This window comes from Homo sapiens, chromosome 9 (genome assembly GCF_000001405.40).
Source record: "Homo sapiens chromosome 9, GRCh38.p14 Primary Assembly".
NCBI classification, from domain to species: Eukaryota; Metazoa; Chordata; class Mammalia; order Primates; family Hominidae; genus Homo; species Homo sapiens.
Window position 1 is genome coordinate 94,090,430 of NC_000009.12, and position 22,687 is coordinate 94,113,116.

General features: G+C 40.8%; 1 protein-coding gene across 4 annotated transcripts in view, besides 1 other annotated feature; it reads left to right on the forward strand.

Annotated features, from left to right (window-relative positions):
- Positions 1-19,427, forward strand: part of PTPDC1 (protein tyrosine phosphatase domain containing 1) — a 79,044-nt gene extending 59,617 nt beyond the window's left edge. For 2 of the 4 annotated variants that reach the window (NM_177995.3, NM_001253829.2), the window contains 5 exons: positions 4,888-5,025; positions 6,892-8,150; positions 11,137-11,322; positions 13,846-13,956; positions 17,399-19,424. In NM_177995.3, coding sequence (NP_818931.1) covers positions 4,888-5,025; positions 6,892-8,150; positions 11,137-11,322; positions 13,846-13,956; positions 17,399-17,515 — 1,811 coding nt within the window. In that variant the 3' untranslated portion in view covers positions 17,516-19,424. Of the gene's footprint in view, positions 1-4,887; positions 5,026-6,891; positions 8,151-11,136; positions 11,323-13,845; positions 13,957-17,398 lie in introns of all 4 variants that reach the window. The other 2 variants (NM_001253830.2, NM_152422.4) reach the window with 2 other exon arrangements.
- Positions 3,785-4,537: an enhancer, noted in NCBI's record as "NANOG-H3K27ac-H3K4me1 hESC enhancer chr9:96856496-96857248 (GRCh37/hg19 assembly coordinates)". NCBI's record gives its function as "activates a minimal SCP1, AML or CMV promoter by ChIP-STARR-seq in naive and primed H9 embryonic stem cells {active_cell/tissue: H9 hESC(naive and primed)}" and the evidence as "EXISTENCE:reporter gene assay evidence [ECO:0000049][PMID:30033119]".
- Positions 19,428-22,687: the final 3,260 nt, after the last annotated feature.

Consider the following 22,687-nt stretch of genomic DNA (forward strand, 5'->3'; position numbering starts at 1 on the left):
TTGATCTATATCTCTGTTTTGGTACCAGTACCATGCTGTTTTGGTTACTGTAGCCTTGTAGTATAGTTTGAAGTCAGGTAGTGTGATGCCTCCAGCTTTGTTCTTTTGGCTTAGGATTGACTTGGTGATGCGGGCTCTTTTTTGGTTCCATATGAACTTTAAAGTAGTTTTTTCCAATTCTGTGAAGAAAGTCATTGGTAGCTTGATGGGGATGGCATTGAATCTGTAAATTACCTTGGGCAGTATGGCCATTTTCACGATATTGATTCTTCCTACCCATGAGCATGGAATGTTCTTCCATTTGTTTGTGTCCTCTTTTATTTCCTTGAGCAGTGGTTTGTAGTTCTCCTTGAAGAGGTCCTTCACATCCCTTGTAAGTTGGATTCCTAGGTATTTTATTCTCTTTGAAGCAATTGTGAATGGGAGTTCACTCATGATTTGGCTCTCTGTTTGTCTGTTGTTGGTGTATAAGAATGCTTGTGATTTTTGTACATTGATTTTGTATCCTGAGACTTTGCTGAAGTTGCCTGTCAGCTTAAGGAGATTTTGGGCTTGAGACAATGGGGTTTTCTAGATATACAATCATGTCGTCTGCAAACAGGGACAATTTGACTTCCTCTTTTCCCAATTGAATACCCTTTATTTCCTTCTCCTGCCTAATTGCCCAGGCCAGAACTTCCAACACTATGTTGAATAGGAGTGGTGAGAGAGGGCATCCCTGTCTTGTGCCAGTTTTCAAAGGGAATGCTTCCAGTTTTTGCCCATTCAGTATGATATTGGCTGTGGGTTTGTCATAGATAGCTCTTATTATTTTGAAATACGTCCCATCAATGCCTAATTTATTGAGAGTTTTTAGTATGAAGGGTTGTTGAATTTTGTCAAAGGCTTTTTTCTGCATCTATTGAGATAATCATGTGGTTTTTGTCTTTGGCTCTGTTTATATGCTGGATTACATTTATTGATTTGCGTATATTGAACCAGCCTTGCATCCCAGGGATGAAGCCCAGTTGATCATGGTGGATAAGCTTTTTGATGTGCTGCTGGATTCGTTTTGCCAGTATTTTACTGAGGATTTTTGCATCAATGTTCATCAAGGATATTGGTCTAAAATTCTCTTTTTTTGTTGTGTCTCTGCCTGGCTTTGGTATCAGAATGATGCTGGCCTCATAAAATGAGTTAGGGAGGATTCCCTCTTTTTCTGTTGATTGGAATAGTTTCAGAAGGAATGGTACCAGTTCCTCCTTATACCTCTGGTAGAATTCGGCTGTGAATCCATCTGGTCCTGTACTCTTTTTGGTTGGTAAGCTATTGATTATTGCCACAATTTCAGCTCCTGTTATTGGTCTATTCAGAGATTCAACTTCTTCCTGGTTTAGTCTTGGGAGAGTTTATGTGCAGAGGAATTTATCCATTTCTTCTAGATTTTCTAGTTTATTTGCATAGAGGTGTTTGTAGTATTCTCTGATGGTAGTTTGTATTTCTGTGGGATCAGTGGTGATATCCCCTTTATCATTTTTTATTGCGTCTATTTGATTCTTCTCTCTTTTTTTCTTTATTAGTCTTGCTAGCGGTCTATCAATTTTGTTGATCTTTTCAAAAAACAAGCTCCTGGATTCATTAATTTATTGAAGGGTTTTTTGTGTCTCTGTTTCCTTCAGTTCTGCTCTGAGTTTAGTTATTTCTTGCCTTCTGCTAGCTTTTGAATGTGTTTGCTCCTGCTTTTCTAGTTCTTTTAATTGTGATGTTAGGTTGTCAATTTTGGATCTTTCCTGCTTTCTCTTGTGGGCATTTAGTGCTATAAATTTCCCTCTACACACTGCTTTGAATGCGTCCCAGAGATTCTGGTATGTTGTGTCTTTGTTCTCGTTGGTTTCAAAGAACATCTTTATTTCTGCCTTCATTTCGTTATGTACCCAGTAGTCATTCAGGAGCAGGTTGTTCAGTTTCCATGTAGTTGAGTGGTTTTGAGTGAGATTCTTAATCCTGAGTTCTAGTTTGATTGCACTGTGGTCTGAGAGATAGTTTGTTATAATTTCTGTTCTTTTACATTTGCTGAGGAGAGCTTTACTTCCCAGTATGTGGTCAATTTTGGAATAGGTGTGGTGTGGTGCTGAAAAAAATGTATATTCTGTTGATATGGGGTGGAGAGTTCTGTAGATGTCTATTAGGTCTGTTTGGTGCAGAGCTGAGTTCAATTCCTGGGTATCCTTGTTGACTTTCTGTCTCGTTGATCTGTCTAATGTTGACAGTGGGGTGTTAAAGTCTCCCATTATTAATGTGTGGGAGTCTAAGTCTCTTTGTAGGTCACTCAGGACTTGCTTTATGAATCTTGGTGCTCCTGTATTGGGTGCATATATATTTAGGATAGTTAGCTCTTCTTGTTGAATTGATCCCTTTACCATTATGTAATGTCCTTCTTTGTCTCTTTTGATCTTTGTTGGTTTAAAGTCTGTTTTATCAGAGACTAGGATTGCAACCCCTGCCTTTTTTTGTTTTCCATTGGCTTGGTAGATCTTCCTCCATCCTTTTATTTTGAGCCTCTATGTGTCTCTGCACGTGAGATGGGTTTCCTGAATACAGCACACTGATGGGTCTTGACTCTTTATTCAATTTGCCAGTCTGTGTCTTTTAATTGGAGCATTTAGTCCATTTACATTTAAAGATAATATTGTTATGTGTGAATTTGATCCTGTCATTATGATGTTAGCTGGTTATTTTGCTCGTTAGTTGATGCAGTTTCTTCCTAGTCTCAATGGTCTTTACATTTTGGCATGATTTTGAAGTGGCTGGTACCGGTTGTTCCTTTCCATGTTTAGTGCTTCCTTCAGGAGCTCTTTTAGGGCAGGCCTGGTGGTGACAAAATCTCTCAGCATTTGCTTGTCTGTAAAGTATTTTATTTCTCCTTCACTTATGAAGCTTAGTTTGGCTGGATATGCAATTCTGGGTTGAAAATTCTTTTCTTTAAGAATGTTGAATATTGGCCCCCACTCTCTTCTGGCTTGTAGGGTTTCTGCCGAGAGATCCGCTGTTAGTCTGATGGGCTTCCCTTTGAGGGTAACCCGACCTTTCTCTCTGGCTGCCCTTAACATTTTTTCCTTCATTTCAACTTTGGTGAATCTGACAATTATGTGTCTTGGAGTTGCCTTCTCGAGGAGTATCTTTGTGGTGTTCTCTGTATTTCCTGAATCTGAACATTGGCCTGCCTTGCTAGATTGGGGAAGTTCTCCTGGATAATATCCTGCAGAGTGTTTTCCAACTTGGTTCCATTCTCCACATCACTTTCAGGTACACCAATCAGACGTAGATTTGGTCTTTTCACATAGTCCCATATTTCTTGGAGGCTTTGCTCATTTCTTTTTATTCTTTTTTCTCTAAACTTCCCTTCTCGCTTCATTTCATTCATTTCATCTTCCATTGCTGATACCCTTTCTTCCAGTTGATCGCATCGGCTCCTGAGGCTTCTGCATTCTTCACGTAGTTCTCGAGCCTTGGTTTTCAGCTCCATCAGCTCCTTTAAGCACTTCTCTGTATTGGTTATTCTAGTAATACATTCTCCTAAATTTTTTTCAAAGTTTTCAACTGCTTTGCCTTTGGTTTGAATGTCCTCCCGTAGCTCAGAGTAATTTGATCATCTGAAGTCTTCTCTCAGCTTGTCAAAGTCATTCTCCATCCAGCTTTGTTCCGTTGCTGGTGAGGAACTGCGTTCCTTTGGAGGAGGAGAGGTGCTCTACTTTTTAGAGTTTCCAGTTTTTCTGTTCTGTTTTTTCCCCATCTTTGTGGTTTTATCTACTTTTGGTCTTTGATGATGGTGATGTACAGATGGGTTTTTGGTGTGGATGTCCTTTCTGTTTGTTAGTTTTCCTTCTAACAGAGAGGACCCTCAGCTGCAGGTCTGTTGGAATACCCTGCCGTGTGAGGTGTCAGTGTGCCCCTGCTGGTGCCTCCCAGTTAGGCTGTTCTGGGGTCAGGGGTCAGGGACCCACTTGAGGAGGCAGTCTGCCCGTTCTCAGATTTCCAGCTGCGTGCTGGGAGAACCACAGCTCTTTTCAAAGCTGTCAGACAGGGACATTTAAGTATGCAAAAGTTACTGCTGTCTTTTTGTTTGTCTGTGCCCTGCCCCCAGAGGTGGAGCCTATAGAGGCAGGCAGGCCTCCTTGAGCTGTGGTGGGCTCCACCCAGTTCGAGCTTCCCGGCTGCTTTGTTTACCTAAGCAAGCCTGGGCAATGGCGGGCACCCCTCCCCCAGCCTTGCTGCCGCCTTGCAGTTTGATCTCAGACTGCTGTGCTAACAATCAGCGAGACTCCGTGGGCGTAGGACCCTCCGAGCCAGGTGCGGGATATAATCTTGTGGTGCGCAGTTTTTTAAGCCCGTCCGAAAAGCGCAGTGTTCGGGTGGGAGTGACCCGACTTTCCAGGTGCCGTCCATCACCCCTTTCTTTGACTCAGAAAGGGAACCCCCTGACCCCTTGCGCTTCCCAAGTGAGGCAGTGCCTCGCCCTGCTTCGGCTGAGGCACGGTGCGTGCGCCCACTGACCTGCGCCCACTGTCTGGCACTCCCTAATGAGATGAACCCGGTACCTCAGATGGAAATGCAGAAATCACCCGTCTTCTGCGTCGCTCACGCTGGGAGCTGTAGACCGGAGCTGTTCCTATTCGGCCATCTTGGCTCCTCCCCTCAGGAAATGTCTTAAGTAACATAAAATGTGCTTTGTGAGTAAATGTTAACAGTAAAGTTACTGGGAATGTAAAATCCCTCTTATTTTATGCAGTGTATGCACTGAGATCTACATGCCTCAGTCTCAGTGTAGATCTGTGTACTTTTCATTAGTGTTTGTACTTTCATTAATTTCCTGTATGTTGATTTTCTTTTCCTTTTCTTTTTTCCTAGTTTACTTCTACAATTTCGGATGGAAGGATTATGGTGTAGCGTCTCTTACTACTATCCTAGATATGGTGAAGGTGATGACATTTGCCTTACAGGAAGGAAAAGTAGCTATCCATTGTCATGCAGGGCTTGGTCGAACAGGTAGGTCCTAAGAGGTGGTTTATTGCCTGTAGGCATATTTAAACATAAAAGGAATAAGATTTCCTAATTTGAGGGTAAATGTTTCTCAGAATCCTATCAAAGCTTTGGAGTCAGGTGGAAGAAGGGAATAAGTTCTAGTGTTCTGTACCACTGTAGGGTGTCTATAGTTAAAATGATATATAGTTTCAAATAGCTAGAAGGAGGATATTGAATGTTCCCAACACAAATGCATGATAAATGTTGAAGATTATGCGTATACTAAATACACTGATCTGATCACTATACATTATATGTATTAAAACATCACTATATACCCCATAGATATGTATAATTATTATGTTAACATTAAAAATTAAATCAAAAAAAATTTTAAGATATTTGAAATACCGTAAACAGGTAGTTACAATGACCGTATATATATCATTTTAAAGTCTTTAGCAACAATGTGAGTTGGAGAAACTGCAATTTGAGAGAAGTAATTTGCTACATTTAGTAAGTGCCAGGGCCACACTTTAAATCCATGGTTGTCTGACTCCAGAGTTCATGTGCTTTCCATTTTTGGAGGTATAAGGATTTTGTTTGTGAAGAAGAGTCTATCTGTGCCCAGAATTCTATTAAAAAGTCAGTGATTTTACTTAAAACATTCAGCTGAATTTCATTACAGTGCTGATATTGGGGCAAAAATGAAGGCCGTAGGGCTGAAATTTTCATTGTCATCTGATCCAACCACATGCAGCTCAGCTCTGTCCGCAGTGTACCTGTGCTCCTGCCAGGGGATCTGCCACATACCTGGAAGCATGCGCAGGGGAGGGGACTCAGCTCTGCTTGAGATTAGTAGCTCTTAGGATCAAGCCAAAATCTCACTGTTTCTAGACATTGACATGATAGCTCTGCAGACATTTTACATTTATACTAAGATCTTCTGTGTCCTAGTGAGAAAGGTATGTTGTTACCGACTGTGAACTGGAGAGCATGCAGTTTTCAGAGGTTCTGATTTTCATATGTAACAAGATGTTCACAAACTTGGGGATCACACAGGTGTATTTGATTTGCCTTTTACTTTAATATTAATTGACTGTTATATTTGAATTAATTTATTAATTATTACCTTTTAACTAGTAATAACCTTACTAGTTATTCCTTTTAATTAGATGTTAGTAAGAATACCTAATGTTTATACCACTAAGCCTGGCTTCCTTAAGATTGCTTAATTTTCCATAATTGCTTATGGAAAAATAGAATTATATCATGGTCTGAAGGAAAACACATATTAGTATAGGCACAATCTGGAAAAAGAATTGCCAAGAAGAAAAGTAGGCTGCAAATATGAATAATCCCTAAAGAAGAAACTGCCGTGGTAGGGAGAGTGCCAAGCTGGGATGTGCCAGCAGTTGATGGCAAAGATAGCAGGGTGGGAGGTTCCAAACACAAAGTGTATGGATTGATTGGATGGAAATTCTCAAGAACTGTTCAGAGTGGAAAATAGAAACAGGATTTGCTTTCTTCTGATGGAGTTAAGTAGAACAAGGAGGATAGATGGGCCAGATGATCAGTTTCCCTTCCCTCCTGCACACTTACTCACCTACCTTGTGCCTGTGCTGGCACAGCTCTGGGCTACTGAGATGACTCAGTCATGGGGAGGCGGTGCCACATAGACATTTAATAAAGTTCTGTGCAGTAAGGAACGTGCAAAATAACACCTCTACAAAAAGTCACAAAGTTATCATCATAATTGTCCTTAAAATGTGTCTCTATTTATATGGTTTCTTAACACATATTCAAATTGTAAATCATCAAAGAGTGATAAATAAAATAAATAAAAATGTAAGCTTTTCTCATACCAGTCTTCTCTTCTTCACTGTTTAGGTGTTTTAATAGCCTGTTACTTAGTTTTTGCAACGAGAATGACTGCTGACCAAGCAATTATATTTGTGCGGGCAAAGCGACCCAATTCCATACAAACCAGAGGACAGCTCCTCTGTGTAAGGGAATTTACTCAGTTTCTAACTCCTCTCCGCAATATATTCTCTTGCTGTGATCCCAAAGCACATGCTGTCACCTTACCTCAATATCTAATTCGCCAGCGTCATCTGCTTCATGGTTATGAGGCACGACTTCTGAAACACGTGCCAAAAATTATCCACCTAGTTTGCAAATTGCTGCTGGACTTAGCGGAGAACAGGCCAGTGATGATGAAGGATGTGTCCGAAGGACCTGGTCTCTCTGCTGAAATAGAAAAGACAATGTCTGAGATGGTCACCATGCAGCTGGATAAAGAGTTACTGAGGCATGACAGTGATGTGTCCAACCCGCCTAACCCCACTGCAGTGGCAGCAGATTTTGACAATCGAGGCATGATTTTCTCCAATGAGCAACAGTTTGACCCTCTTTGGAAAAGGCGGAATGTTGAGTGCCTTCAACCCCTGACTCATCTGAAAAGGCGGCTCAGCTACAGTGACTCAGATTTAAAGAGGGCCGAGAACCTCCTGGAGCAAGGGGAGACTCCACAGACAGTGCCTGCCCAGATCTTGGTTGGCCACAAGCCCAGGCAGCAGAAGCTCATAAGCCATTGTTACATCCCACAGTCTCCAGAACCAGACTTACACAAGGAAGCCTTGGTTCGCAGCACACTTTCTTTCTGGAGTCAGTCAAAGTTTGGAGGCCTGGAAGGACTCAAAGATAATGGGTCACCAATTTTCCATGGAAGGATCATTCCAAAGGAAGCACAGCAGAGTGGAGCTTTCTCTGCAGATGTTTCAGGCTCACACAGCCCTGGGGAGCCAGTTTCACCCAGCTTTGCAAATGTCCATAAGGATCCAAACCCTGCTCACCAGCAAGTGTCTCACTGTCAGTGTAAAACTCATGGTGTTGGGAGCCCTGGCTCTGTCAGGCAGAACAGCAGGACACCCCGAAGCCCTCTGGACTGTGGCTCCAGTCCCAAAGCACAGTTCTTGGTTGAACATGAAACCCAGGACAGTAAAGATCTGTCTGAAGCAGCTTCACACTCTGCATTACAGTCTGAATTGAGTGCTGAGGCAAGAAGAATACTGGCGGCCAAAGCCCTAGCAAATTTAAATGAATCTGTAGAAAAGGAGGAACTAAAAAGGAAGGTAGAAATGTGGCAGGTATTATTAGTACTTAATTTAATTATAGATATGTGGGAAATATTTATGTCAGGGCAAAAGTGTGATACATTTTCCCAAACTTATTTATTATAGAAATGTGAAGATACGTTTGCATAATACTTTCTAACTTCAGGTTTCTCGTCTCTGATGCGAACCTGATGTTATAGAAAAAACACAGGGTGTTTGTATGGTTTCATTTAAATCTGCATACTCAAGAAAGCACTTGGTGTGATGCTTGACCCACACAAGGCATTGATATTAGTAGTTTCCTTCTTCCTGGGCCTATGGGGGCAACTGGCCCACAGCAGACAGCATTCGAAACTGACTAGAAGCATCTTTATGAGGCCTGGCAGAGGGAATCATACTTTGAGAACTACTGACGTGCAGACATAAATAAAATGTTTATTTTTCAAAGCTCATCAACACTGGTGCTGAGCAAGGTCAGAAGAGTGAGGCTGTCTCTTTGGCATCCTCTCCTTCAGACTTGCCAATCCTGCCCTAATAGGGCAACTATGGGAAATCAGGAGAGCAAGTGGGTGAAACCACAGATTACTACGTGCCATTCACTTTAGCTGAGTTGAGGTCTTTGGGGTCCATTTCTTAGCTTTTACTTCAATTAGAATGTAAATGTTTAACTCTTTTTTGTGTTGTGCTTTTACTAGGATACAGTCATAAGTCAGCCACACTTTCTTTGCCCTGAATGAGCACCTGTTCTCGAGAAAAGATAGGCCTTATAAACCTAGCTATGAGAAACAGCTAAACTACCCCAAAAGGAGGCTGACTTGGACAGTCGTGAATCACCGAGATCTTGACTTTTGAGCCCATAACCTACTGTGAATTATTTTAATAGCTCGCTTTCATAGTCTGCCATTGATTAAACAAGGCATATAAAATTTCTGAGTGCCAGTATCTCTTCAGTTGCAGAGGCATGAAAATTAAGTTTGGAGCTTCACATTAACTTTTAATTATATGATGGGAGGAGAGAACTTTTGATAAAAATTTTGTTCTTCAGAATTGTGTTTCGCCTATCCAATAGTTAAATGTATTGCTTTCTTCCAAAATGAATTGTTTTCTTTATTTTCTGCTCCAAACTGAAAAAGTCTTTCATTCAGTCAGCAAATATTTCCTGGGCATTACTGTGTGTTAAGAGTTAGCAAGAAAGAGAGTCTTCTATTTTAGATGAAAATCTCGCACCCCCACTCCTGGGTCAGCCCCAGTGCCCATGCAAGCTCTGCTGTGGTGATGAAGCGTTCAGGACTTGGTTTGGGCCAGACCGTATGTAGTGTATATGAAAGCATTTTCTGGAGGTGAACACAGACCTTTAATCAGGATAGTTTTGCATTTTTTTCCATTCTAGATTTTATTTTAGGACTTTTAGTTATCAAAAAAATCAGTTGAATTCTGGAAAAGAATAAAATGAACATTATTTGAATAGTATAATGCCACCCATGCCTGTACTAGACCATTTCACATATATTATTTCATGTGATTTTTCACAGTTATCATAGAACATATCTGTAAGGCAGATGATACTATTTCTACAGTCTTTGTTAATCTTGTGAATTCAGTATCACAGATGAGGATGCTAAAGGTCATGAAGGTTAGAGGGTAAGTGACTTGCTCAGGGTCACGTGGCATGCGTGTGGCAGAGTCAGGGTACAGCACATGTGTTTAACACTTTCCATTATCCCAAGATTCTTGGCTAACCTCCCTGGAGAGCCTCAGGAAACATCATGATAAGATAGTCATTTTGCTAAGAGCATTTTTGATTAGTGTCAGTTCTGCCCAGCTTGTCTCCTTCATAAGATTGAATCAAGAGCTACTTTGTTTTATACATGATCTATGGGATATGAAGGACTGTGAATAACAAAGTATTGGTGTATTCATAAGATAATAAAGAGAAGCCCAGTACCAGAGGGCCCTTGTGGCATAATAGAAACAGCACAGACTCTGGAGTAAGGCAGAACTGGGTATGAACACCCCCTTTGCCATTTTCTAGCTTTTGGCTCCTAGGTGAGTTATTTCATCTTTCTTGAGCCCCATTATATGTATTGGTGAGGAAGCTCCCTGCTGGGTGCCATTTGAGAGTTAGAGATAAGACATGTATTACAGTCTCTGTCCCACTGTGTGCATGTAGTAAATATTGGGTAGGTGAATGAATGAGTGAATGGTAGCAATTATTACACTTAACTTCTATTTTGTTAAAATGTATTTGACTCACTAAAACATAAATCTGAACCCTGTCAGAAATTCATGAAAATCCTTATCTCACTTTTCCCTTGCTCTCTGTGAGGTAAAGTATTAAAATCTCATGCTTAAATTTTCTCTAGGCATTTGGAGTATTAGAAAAACTTTCCAGTTATCTTCCCTATGTCAAATTTCAGGACTCGGGGCTTATTGTTAAATCCTACATAGGATGCTAAAAAGATATTTCAAAGAAGTACATATGCCCCATTTACCAGCTTTCAAGCACCTTTATTTTATTTTTGCAGACTTCGAAGCTCAAAGCTTTTCCTTTTCCTTAGACCCCAGGTTAATGTATAAATGTTCCCTTATTTCTACTTTCTCATCTACCATCTACTTTATTGCAAAAAAATAGTTCTGTTTTGTTCACCAGAAGGCTGAAAAGGAAGACTCTTGTGAACTGTTTCTGTGGTTTCTGAATAAAGTAGAGAACTTGGATTAACTAAGCCCTTTCCCTGTGCTATAAGCTTTAACCGACCTTATCTCAGTCAATCAGCCCAACAGCTTGTGAAGCAGGGGATGAGTTTCATAGAGAGAAACTGGGGCTTACAGAATTCAGTGTCTTAGTCCAGTGTCCAGCCTGGAAGTGGAGAGGCTGGGAGGGGTCCCAGTTCTGCACTCTGGAGCCTGAGTCTTTCACTCTTGTGGGCAGCGCAAGAATCATGCAGTGTCAAATGGTGCACCTCCCTCTCCTCTCCCTGTCTCTGTCTCTGTCTGTCTGTCTCTTTCTCTTCCTTTTTAGAAAGAGCTTAATTCCCGAGATGGAGCTTGGGAAAGAATATGTGGCGAGAGGGACCCTTTCATCCTATGCAGCTTGATGTGGTCTTGGGTGGAGCAACTGAAGGAGCCTGTAATCACCAAAGAGGATGTGGACATGTTGGTTGACAGGCGAGCAGATGCCGCAGAAGCACTTTTTTTATTAGAGAAGGTAAAGTGGCTGTAGGACCAGTTAATGACTGTAACTGAGGCCCTTAGTTTTTCACGCAGAAAAAAAAAATCCATTATAAAAAAAGAGAATTCACACAGAATCCCAAATCTAGATCTAATTTAATAGTTTTTCCAAGAGAAGAGAAGAAACTGATACCCAGTGTAAACACTTAGAAAATACAAAAATAAAAACGAGAACTATCCATAGTCCTGGGAGAGGCACTGCAAACATTTTCAAACATTTTAAACTTACCAATATGTATATTAACTTGTTAAAAATCATTTTAACATACAAGTTTATATTTCATTTTTGCTTAAAGTTATAACATAGCTATTTTCCTGTGAATAATGTAAGCTTTTCATAAATATTGACTCTTAACGGATATGATGCTGTAACACGAGACTGTGCCATAATTAAGCACTGTTTCACTGTTGGTTGTTTGTTTCTACTTATTTGCTGTGAGCATGCATATGGGAAAAATTATGAATTAGGTTGGGATATGCACTCATTCGTATTTTTAAAAAGGGGTAGGTGTCACACATATATACATGTATATATAATTTTTATTTGTAAAATATAGATGTTTTCTATATTTTATATATAAAAGATATATGTTTAAAATAGAGGAAATATGTATATATGTATAAAATATAGAAGGAGAAATAAGAAACTGGTAATAGTGGTCACCTTTAGGAAAAGATATTAGAAGACAATGGATCTAGGAAACGGGAGAAATTGTATGAATCCTTTTATATAATTTATCATTTTTATCCATACAGAGATACTAAATTTTCAGTTTAAAACAGGGTTTGTTTTTGTTTTTGTTTTTGTTTGTTTCTTTTTTTGAGACATAGTTTTGCTCTTGTTGCCCAGGCTGGAGTGCAATGGCGCGATCTCAGCTCACTGCAACCTCTGCCCCCCGGGTTCAAGCGATTCTCCTGCCTCAGCCTCCCGAGTAGCTGGGATTACAGCATGTGCCACCACGCCCGGCTAATTTTGTAATTTTAGTGGAGACAGGATTTCTCCATGTTGGTCAGGCTGGTCTCAAACTCCCAACCTCATGTGATCCACCCACCTTGGCCTCCCAAAGTGCTGGGATTACAGGCATGAGCCACCATGCCAGGCCTGTTTTTGTTTTAACAAACAATGTTATTGAATAACCAGCCTTGAGTTACCTGCTATGCTCCATGTAAACATCTCCTCAGTTTCTAAATTTCACTAAAAATCTTCTGCTGTTACTACACACACACACACACACACACACACACACGGACACATGGACGGATGCACATGCAGACATGCAGATACATGTGTTCACACACATGCACACAGATACAATACACAATACACAGACATGTGCGTGCCTGCACACACACACATACACTCACATACCACAGTTATGCAATACATATCTTTTAAGAAGTGATTTTTCCTGTATCCGAAGTCCTTTTCTTAGGATATTTTCTCAGCAATTAAATCACAGAGTTAAAACAGGAGATGGTGAAAAGGCAGATTAATGTTTGGTAGGTGACTGGGCCAAGCCCTTCAGGACATAATTTACATTTTCTCTTCTGTTTATCTCAATACCCCTTAGAGGTAGAGGCCCATTTCACAGACAAGGAAAGCTGAGGTTGCATGCCCAAGGTTGGCACCACATGTCAGAGCAGAATTCAAGCTCAGACCACTTTGGCACAAAGCCCATGTGCTTTCTATTACATAAGGCTGCCTGTTTTATCCTAATTCACCCTCGGGCAATTCACCTAGGGCATTTATATTGCTTCAGGTTTTTTACTTTCATAGGCGTCATTGTAATGATAATTTGTGCTTGCAGGTGTTTCTTTATTATAGATTATGCTCTTAGAGTAGATTTTCAGAGTTGAAATTTATGGGTCCCTGTACATTACATCTTGGATATGTATTGCTGAAGGTGATGGAATTTCTTCTTTGCTAAGGTAAACAGCCCCCAGGAGTCAAGTCAGTGGACACATTTTTAAGTATCTTACCCCCTTAGGTTGGAGGCTAAGCACTTAAGCACTGCATTGCTCCTGGGGGACTGGGGTTGTCCTTGTCCTTTTCTTTGTCTACCTGCCTCCCTCCATATCATATGCAGTGGCTGGGTACCCAGATCCTGACCACTCAGTGCCCAGTTAATTAGTCCATGTATCTCTATGACATGTCACCATCTACTAGACTACTGACATATCCAGAAACAACAAGAATGGGAAAATCTATTCAGTTCACTGCAAGAGAAACACTTGGTTTAAAAGTGCACTGATCTTCAAATTTAGTTTTACTTTGTACAATAGCTAGCCAGCTTTGATATTATCTCCTGAAAGCTTTTCAAATTATATTAACACATAACAATAAACATTTGTTGATGTTTAGATATTTTGTTAGATATTTTGGCATTTGACATTATGAGTACTTGGTCACAAACCAATTCTTGACTCTACGATAGTTTTGAATTGATTTATTGAGGCATTTTTTGAAAAATTTTTTAAATTTTGATTTCTACAAAAACAGGGACAGCACCAGACTATTCTCTGCGTGTTGCACTGCATAGTGAACCTGCAGACAATTCCCGTGGATGTGGAGGAAGCTTTCCTTGCCCATGCCATTAAGGCATTCACTAAGGTGGGTCATACTCTTCCTTTCCCCTCTCTGAACCACAGATCAGCATCATCTTTGTAAATCAGAATCCAGAGGTCACCGTCCTCCTCTAAAATAAAACATGTATGTGTATGTTTTCCCTTCATGGAAATCTGTTTGACATTTCTTCTAAGTAGTTGCAGAGTCTTGACCAAAAAAAAAGTTTCCAAACAATGATCTTAGGAAAAGCTGAATTGTGAGTTTTTTGAAGGAGAACGTTGGAACAAAGAGCTTTTATATAAAAGAAAGAGAGAAACAACTGAGTGTTGAATACATATTTTTAGATCATGTGCCTAATCAGAGTCAGAGAATCTTTGCTTGTCGAGTCAGTTCTACCTTGGGTGTAAGTAAGAAGCCATCTATTGAGAATTAAACATCCCACATTGCTAATTCAGTACTGAGTCCTGGTTGGCAAATCCTAAGGAAAGAGTTAAAAAAAAGGTTTCCTTTCTAAAAGCCCATCCTTTTGGATGCAGCAGTTTTTCCTGGCTGAAGAAAGAAGAAGCAGCCAGGTTCATACTGAGAGAAAAGTTTCCCCTTACCCCATCAGCTATAATTTGTTTATTACTTCTCATTGATATGAAAGTATCTATAATTTGTTTGTTACCTCTCATTGATATGAAAGTGTCATTAAACAAAGAACCCAGCTTTTGAATGACAACATCTGTGGTAACATTAATGATAAGAAGTTATTATTTATACTCATTAACAAGTTATAAAGATTCTTCCTTTTTAATATTTGTCCAGTCTCCTTCCCCTCCACTCTTTCCGGAGTGATGTTCTTACTTCAGGCCTTCCTTGTTCCTCATCTGGATTCTATGGCACTAACCACTGACATCTTTTCAATCTGTTCTCCACTGTTTCCAGAGTCAGTAGTCTCAAATCCAAACCGCGTGGTCCTTTACATCTGTATTTACACTTTCATAGACTGAGAGGCTACCCACCATGTGAAGAAGGTTGTGGTTTGGTGTTTAAGAAAGTAAACAGAGCTGGGAGTGGTGGCTTACGCCTGTGATCCCAGCACTTTGGGAGGCTGAGATGGGTGGATCATGAGATCAGGAGATTGAGACCATCCTGGCCAACATGGTGAAACCCCATCTCTACTAAAGTACAAAAATTTAGCTGGGCATGGTGGTGTGCGCCTGCAGTCCCAGCTACTCAGGAGGCTGAGGTGGAAGAATGGCTTGAACCCGGGAGGTGGAGGTTGCAGTGAGCCGAAATCGCGCCACTGCACTCCGGCCTGGCAACAGAGCGAGACTCTGTCTCAAAAAAAAAAAAAAAAAAGTGGCCAGGCATGGTGGCTCAAGCCTGTAATCCAAGCACTTTGGGAGGCCAAGGTGGGCAGATCACGAGGTCAGGAGATCAAGACCATCCTGGATAACATGGTGAAACCCCATCTCTACTAAAAAGAAATACAAAAAAATTAACTGGGTATGGTGGCAGGCGCCTGTAGTCCCAGCTACTCGGGAGGCTGAGGCAGGAGAATGGTGTGAACCCGGGAGGCGGAGCTTGCAGTGAGCCAAGATTGCACCACTGCACTCCAGCCTGGGCGACAGAGCAAGACTCCATCTCAAAAAAAAAAAAGTAAACAATTCACACCATTATTAATGTTAATAAGGAGTTTTTTGCAAAGGGGATAGATAATATAGTTATAGATAAAATTAAATTCCTGAGCTTAACTGAAAAAAATCCTTACGATTGGTCTCTCTGAAAGCAGTAGGAATTCTTTACAACTTCTTTTGGCCTTTTAAGGGGATACGAATGAAAAGTTAGAGATAACAGTTGTTCAAAATCTGTCTATAGAAAATGTTAGGAGACAGTTTTCCTTGGGTCTCTCATGTCTCTTCATAGTCTGATGAGCAGATGCCCTGACCACTCTCTTTGAGGATCAACTCTTCACTAATGTCTGGAGAGCTCTGCCTGGAGAGCAGAAGGCACACGTTCTGACTTCCAGGATAATAAAAATGTTTCCCTTCAGGGCAAAGGTTGGCAGATTTGCTTGCAGCCCCCTTGTGAAACATTGGAGTTTCCTAAGCTTGGGGCTCCTCAGCTATGAGGCAAACCCCGTGCTTGTGCAGCCTCCACCTAGGCCCTTCTGCATTGCCTCCATGAGACTTGAGAGACAAGGAGAACCCATGTGAACATGAAGCACATGCAGCTGTGAGAAATAAAAGTTGTCTGTCTCTGACCCAGGAATCTCGTATCTTCTACCAGTATCCATAACACTGGCAAGCTAACAGGTTAAGGTCTCAGATCCTTTACAGTTGTTGACAGAGGGAACAACCTTTCATTTGTCAAAATTTATCAGAGAGGGAGAAATTCCAGAAGCAGAGAAGCAGTGATTGTGTGACCCTGATTCTTTCCCAGGGAGTTACACATTACTCTGGGAATGGGGTTGAGGGTGGGTACTTGCTCTGGTTCTCTGTCCTGCCATCACTGCTAACCCAGAGTATGGTAAACTTGGGTGAAAAATGCAAATATGTGTAAATAGTGCGCTCCCATCAAGGGGAAAGGAAATTTACTTTATCAAGGTGGGGTTTGTTTGTTTGTTTGTTTGTTTGTTTGTTTTTTGAGACAAGGTCTCACTCTGTCACCCAGTCTGGAGTGCAGTGGCACAATCTCAGCTCACTGCATCCTCTGCCTCCTGGGCTCCGGCAATCCTCCCACCTCAGCCTCCCAAGTAGCTGGGACTACAGGCATGTGCCACCATGCCTGGCTAAATTTTTAATTTTTTGTAGAGATGAGGTTTTGCCATGTTGCCCAGGCTGGTCTCAACCTCCTGGGCTCAAGCAACTCTCCCACCTCGGCCTCCTAAAGTGCTGGGATTACAGGCATGAGCCACCACACCCAGCCAGTTGAGGTTTGTATATATGTGCCAAACATGTTAGACTCATAGATACGCTATCCTATGAAGGTGGGTATCATTATCTCTGTTTTACAAAGGAGGAGATCAAGGTCCAGAGAGGTTGGGTATGAGATGAGGACATGTAGCTGGCAGGTGGGGAGCTGGGCTTCTATTCAGGTCACTCTGACCCTGTCCAGAGTGGCCGTAGGGCCTCTCAGCAGGACGTATACAGCTGATGTGCTGTTTTAATATGGGAAACTTTTCTCTTATACCATCAATGATTAGTCTCAAAAAATTCACTTCACACCCACTGTTGACTTGCTTCATGACTGGGTGTATATAATTAGACTAAATATCCAGGCACTAGATTTAATTTTGGGGTTTTCATTCATAAGTTTGATATTGACATGGTTGGCAGTTCTAATAGTCTTTCAAATAAAATGTGTGAAATTTATTATGTGTATTTTATATAGAGTTTTGTTTGTAAGTCTGTTTTTTTTCTCCACCCCCTCCTTCTCTCAAAATAGAAACTAGTTCAAATTCTTGTTACAGTGTCCTGAATATAAATTTCTTTGTCACCAGGTTAATTTTGATTCTGAAAATGGACCAACAGTTTACAACACCCTGAAGAAAATATTTAAGCACACGCTGGAAGAAAAAAGAAAAATGACAAAAGATGGCCCTAAGCCTGGCCTCTAGCTTTCACTCGTGGTGAATATTTCAGACCTAAAGATCCAGATAGTATCTCTGTTCATATGTGAATAAGTTGAAGATTGTGGGGCTACTTTTTCTCATAGCACTTTATTTTGAATGTTGTTAGTTTGTGCTGAGAATGGTCGTCCGTATTTGAACCAATTATTTATTTTAAAATATATTTAAGCTACATTTTTGTTTTGAAAAATTGCCATAAATTTGGTGCCACTTTCTTTTATTTATTTGACTGAGTTAATATTATTGTATTAACATTTTAAGTATATGGTGTTTACATTCTTATTTCTTTTGACATTTTGGAAATAATCATAACTTGTCTTTCCAAAATAACCATTTTCTTGATGGAACTCTTCCTAGAGTTTTTACCAAATAGCTAACTTTAGTAGTAAAACCTCATTGTGTATCCATTCCCCCACAGATGAACTAAGAAAGTCACCAAGTGTCTTAAGCTGTTTTATATTTGTTACGAAGAAGGCTATTGCTACAATATTTTTAAAGGTTTCTTTTTTAACTTTGAAATTTTTTGTTTTTCCTTTTCTTTTTATAAATGTAACAGAGGGTTTCAAAGCATATTATTTTTCAGAGAGATTTAGTTTTACTTTAATGGAGTGACTGTGAAGTGGTTGGGATTTTTTGCTTGTAGAAAGTAGACTTGCTCTTTGTCAGATTTCCAAACAACCTTGCCAGCCTTGGCTGTCAAAAGGAGGCAGGAGCAGTTCTCAACACACCAAGCCTTATTCCCACTCCCTTGGGTTGCTGCTGAGCCAAATAGCATCTTTACAGAGGAAGTGGGATCAGAGGCAGGAAGTGTGGAAAGTTGCTAAGAAGCAGGGCTTGCCTCTGTCCTCCCGGGGACTCCACAGGGATATTCGTGCAGGGCAGGGGCTCTGTGCCAGCCCTGCTCTCTCAGATGCCACAGCCACTCTGCAGAGGTGACTCTTGGAGCTGGAGGAAGTCAAAACTGGGCCACTGTTTGTACTGATGGTGTATTAGCATGAGCAGCGTGGCCCTGGCCCCACACTCCCAAATCTGCCACTCCATAGACCCACTTGCCTCAAGGCTTTATATTTGGCTGCTTTCTTACAATGAGAATTAAGATTTTTAAACTGAAGTTGACCATACAGGTTGCATTAGCCCTAACTGGCTTCATGTAAGAAGGGTGACTGCCTAAACTAGTTCCTTGTAAGCTGAACCATCAATTATCAGTTGAAGCCATACTTTTATTTAAATTAATATACGTAGATACCAGAGGCCAAGCCACAGAGAGGATAATAGTTCTTCCCAATAAAGGTGATATTAATCAGACTAATTTCGAACTAAAGAAGTTACTGCTTAAAGACGGAATTTCAGGGGAAGCAAGACTCATTTAGAACAAATGAAATTTCTCCAGTCCTACATTTCTGAATTGACTTCTAGCACATCAAAAATATTTCAGTCATTATCAGTCTCATTAACTGAAATGCCAAATGCTAAATGCAGTGTTCTTTCACACTGTTTTAATTTTCTTGGGAAATTGAGTCCAGTGGATGTTAATGGAGTGGGTTGCCCATCCCTGAAATGTCTTATTTTCAAGTGCCTGGCCTGGGAAAGAAGGGGAAGAAACAATTGCATTATATCCAAAGATACACTATAAAAATAGAGTTTTTACCAAAAAAAGATGTTTGTTCTCATCTCAGTAGGCCTCATTTGGGCAAGTGACCCACAGGTCTTTTGGCGAGTTTGCTATTTGCCTGTTGAAATACTTGTTTCAACTTAGAGAACAGTTATGATGTGACCATAGCATGGCACAACTAAAAATCTAAGCCTGAAACCTGAAAAAAGAGATATGACAAGGGAAATTAATCAGGCTATACATAAGTATTGTATTTATTTGAATAAAAATAAAAAGAGCAACCCATAATCCTAGTCCTGTACTTCTTTACCTTGATGCTCTAGGACATCTGATGATAAAGACAAGGTTTTGTCTTAGATTATCCTAATAGGCAGATTGAGTTGTCGGCTGATTCAGTGAGCCAAGCTCTAGTTAGTGCAGACTCCTTCCATCAGTTCAGCATGACCAAACACTGGGGGGTTGGGATAGGTGAGTTCTAAGAGGAATAGCTGGGGAAAATCTCCAAGCTGACAAGATTCCTAACTTCCCATATTTGGATGAGGAGTTCTTTGTAGCCCAGAGGACAGAAATCTCACATATTGGGAGAAGTGATAAGGTTGAAAAATTCAGTTCAACAGAAATAGGAAGGTTAAGGGCACACACATATTAAGAACTTACCATGGGCCAGCCGTATCCATTACCTCACTGAATTATCTTGACAGAAGTCTTTTTTATTTCATTTATTTATATATATTTTTTTGAGACGGGGGTCTCGCTCCGTAGCCCAAGCTGGAATGCAGTGGCATGATCTTGGCTGACTGCAACCTCCGCTCCCAGCCTGAAGCCATCCTCCCACCTCAGCTTCCTGAGTAGCTGGGACTACAGGCACATGCAATCACATCTGGCTAATTTTTTGTTTTTTTGTTTTTTTGGTATTTTTTGTAGAGATAGGGTTTCACCATGTTACCCAGGCTTGTCTTGAACTCCTGAGCTCAAGTGATCCTCCCACCTCGGCCTCCCAGAGTGCTGGGATTACAGGTGTGAGCCACCGCACCTGGCCTCAGAAGTCTTAATCATAACTGTGTGACGTGAGATGTGGAGTCCAATGGACCCCGTGCTGTGCCCTCCTCTCTGCTCATGTTACCTGCCTATAGGACTCTTAACCTGGCAAAGCTGCCCGTCAAAGTGCCTTCTCAGGGACCTTGAGGTCCCTTTAGCACTAAATTTTATGATGGCATTAAGAGAACACTGTGCTGTCCATAACTTAGTGAAAATATCACACATCTGTCCTGGAAAAGGCTGAACCAGCTCTATTATTATCCTATGATGTTCTCTAGTATATCACACTTAGAGGAAGTACATGATTTCTTGCCACTGTTGCCTTTTCTTACTTCAGAGAGCTTACTAATGCCCTTTGAGACAAATTGCTGCTGGTGGTAGAGCTCGCTTCATTTATTTATGTAACTCAGAAAATCTGTGCTGAGTTACTTAGTCATATCTTCATCCAGCTTGCCAGTCTTATCTGAGAAAAAGTACTTGCTTCATCGTTCTGGATTCCATGAAAACCACCATATATCATAATTCAACAGAGGTAAAGTGTCTCTATTTTCTCTTAAATGGAGAATGCTTGCTGATATGATTGGGTGCTATTTCAGGCTAGTCTCCACATGTCCGAAAAAATATCCAGGGACAGTGTAATGTAGATAGAATGCAAGCCCCAAGTTCTTGACATCTGACAGCCCCATGTAATTTGGGGGGTCAATTTAAAAATGACAGCTTACTCATAGGATCTTTATTATTATTCCAAATTAGCAAGCATTAATATATTTTCAGTGCAGGTAAATCAAGAACAATGTTCTCTTTGATGCTTTTTATGAATGGCACAAGATTAGCATGTTACCTAAGAGAGCTTTTCTCAATGCTAGATGGCTGCAAATTGTTTATAGATAAAGTAGCAGGAGAAAAATTCAACAAAATCCTGTTTCTCAGTGGGTCATTATTTTTTTAGTTATGCTTTTAGGCATGAGCTAATCTCTGATTACCTCAACACTGACAATAAAACTGATTTATAAATAATCACAATGGAACCATTCAGTATTGGAGCTTGACAAGCCTTTGTTCAAAGCCCTTCAGTCACTAAAAATAATGTCCCAATAAGACTTAAATGTCATAAAACCTTTTGCAACGAAAATAAAAGTTTCATACATCCACTGAAACTTGTACAGTAAGAGAAGCCTGCTAAGCCCTTACCTCTCGGCTTTCTTGATTAAAATGAAAAGATATTTTACTCTTGAGATTGCCTATTTTAGAGAAAAATTACATTTTGAGGATGGGCTCCTGCTTACCCGATCTCTAGAAAGTGGTCTGACAGTAGCCTCTGGTTTTGATTTAATGAGTTGCTTTATCATTTTTTTTTCTCCTTTTAAAAATGAAAACAGACTGGGCACGGTGGCTATAATCTCAGCACTTTGGGAGGCCAAGCCAGGCAGATCACAAGGTCAGGAGTTTAAGACCAGCTGGGCCAATATGGTGAAACCCTGTCTGTACTAAAAATACAAAAATCAGCCAGGCGTGGTGGGCACCTGTATTCCCAGCTACTTGGAAGGCTGAGACAGGAGAATCGCTTGAACCTGGGAGGCGGAGGTTGCAGTGAGCCGAGAGCACACCACTGCACTCCAGCCTGGGCAACAAAGCGAGACTCCATCTCCAGAAAAAAAAAAAAAGAAAGAAAGAAAAGAAAAGAAAACAAACTACTCAGGCTCTTGATTTAGGCTGAACCATAGGGAGTGGCCATTTTTTTTTTGGTAAAAAAATGATCAAGTACTGGCCATTTTATGTGGTTCAACCTAAAATCAAACTCAGTATTTCCAGGACAAGTAGGTGACATTTCCTGAATTAATTTTGGTAAGTTTAGATTAGGTGATCAATTATTTTCTAAGACTATCCTGTATGCTTACAGTAGAGTTCCAATACAACTGTAAGTGACAAATATGAAACATTCTTTTAGCAACACGTCTGTGCCTATTCTGCTTGGCCCTCTGCTAATTCTGGGGACACACAGGAATTATTTATTCAGTCATTCATCCCTCTAGGAGTCACGTTGCCTATCCCTCAAAATTCATGTGTTGGAAACTTAATTCCCAATGCAATAGAGTAGGAAGGTGCAGCCTTTTAGGAGGTGTTTAGGTCGTCAGAGCTCCACCCTCATGAATGAACTAATATTATTAGTAAAAGACCTGATGGAGGGAATTCTTTTTTTGCCCTTCCACTTTCTGTCATGTGAGGACACAGCATGCTCCCCTCCAGATGATGCAGCATGTAAGGCACCATCTTGGAAGCAGAGAGCAGCCCTCACCAGATGGCAGTGCCTTAATCTTGGCCTATCCAGCCTCCAGAACTGTGAGAATCAATGTCTGTTGTTTAAGTTGCCCAGCCTGTGCTATTCTGTTATAGCAGCACAAAATGGACTAAGACAGCGATTGGTACCAGGGGAGTGGGGTGTTGCTAAAACATACCTAAAAATGTGGAAGCGGCTTTGGAACTGGGTAATGGGTTGAGGCTAGAAGAGT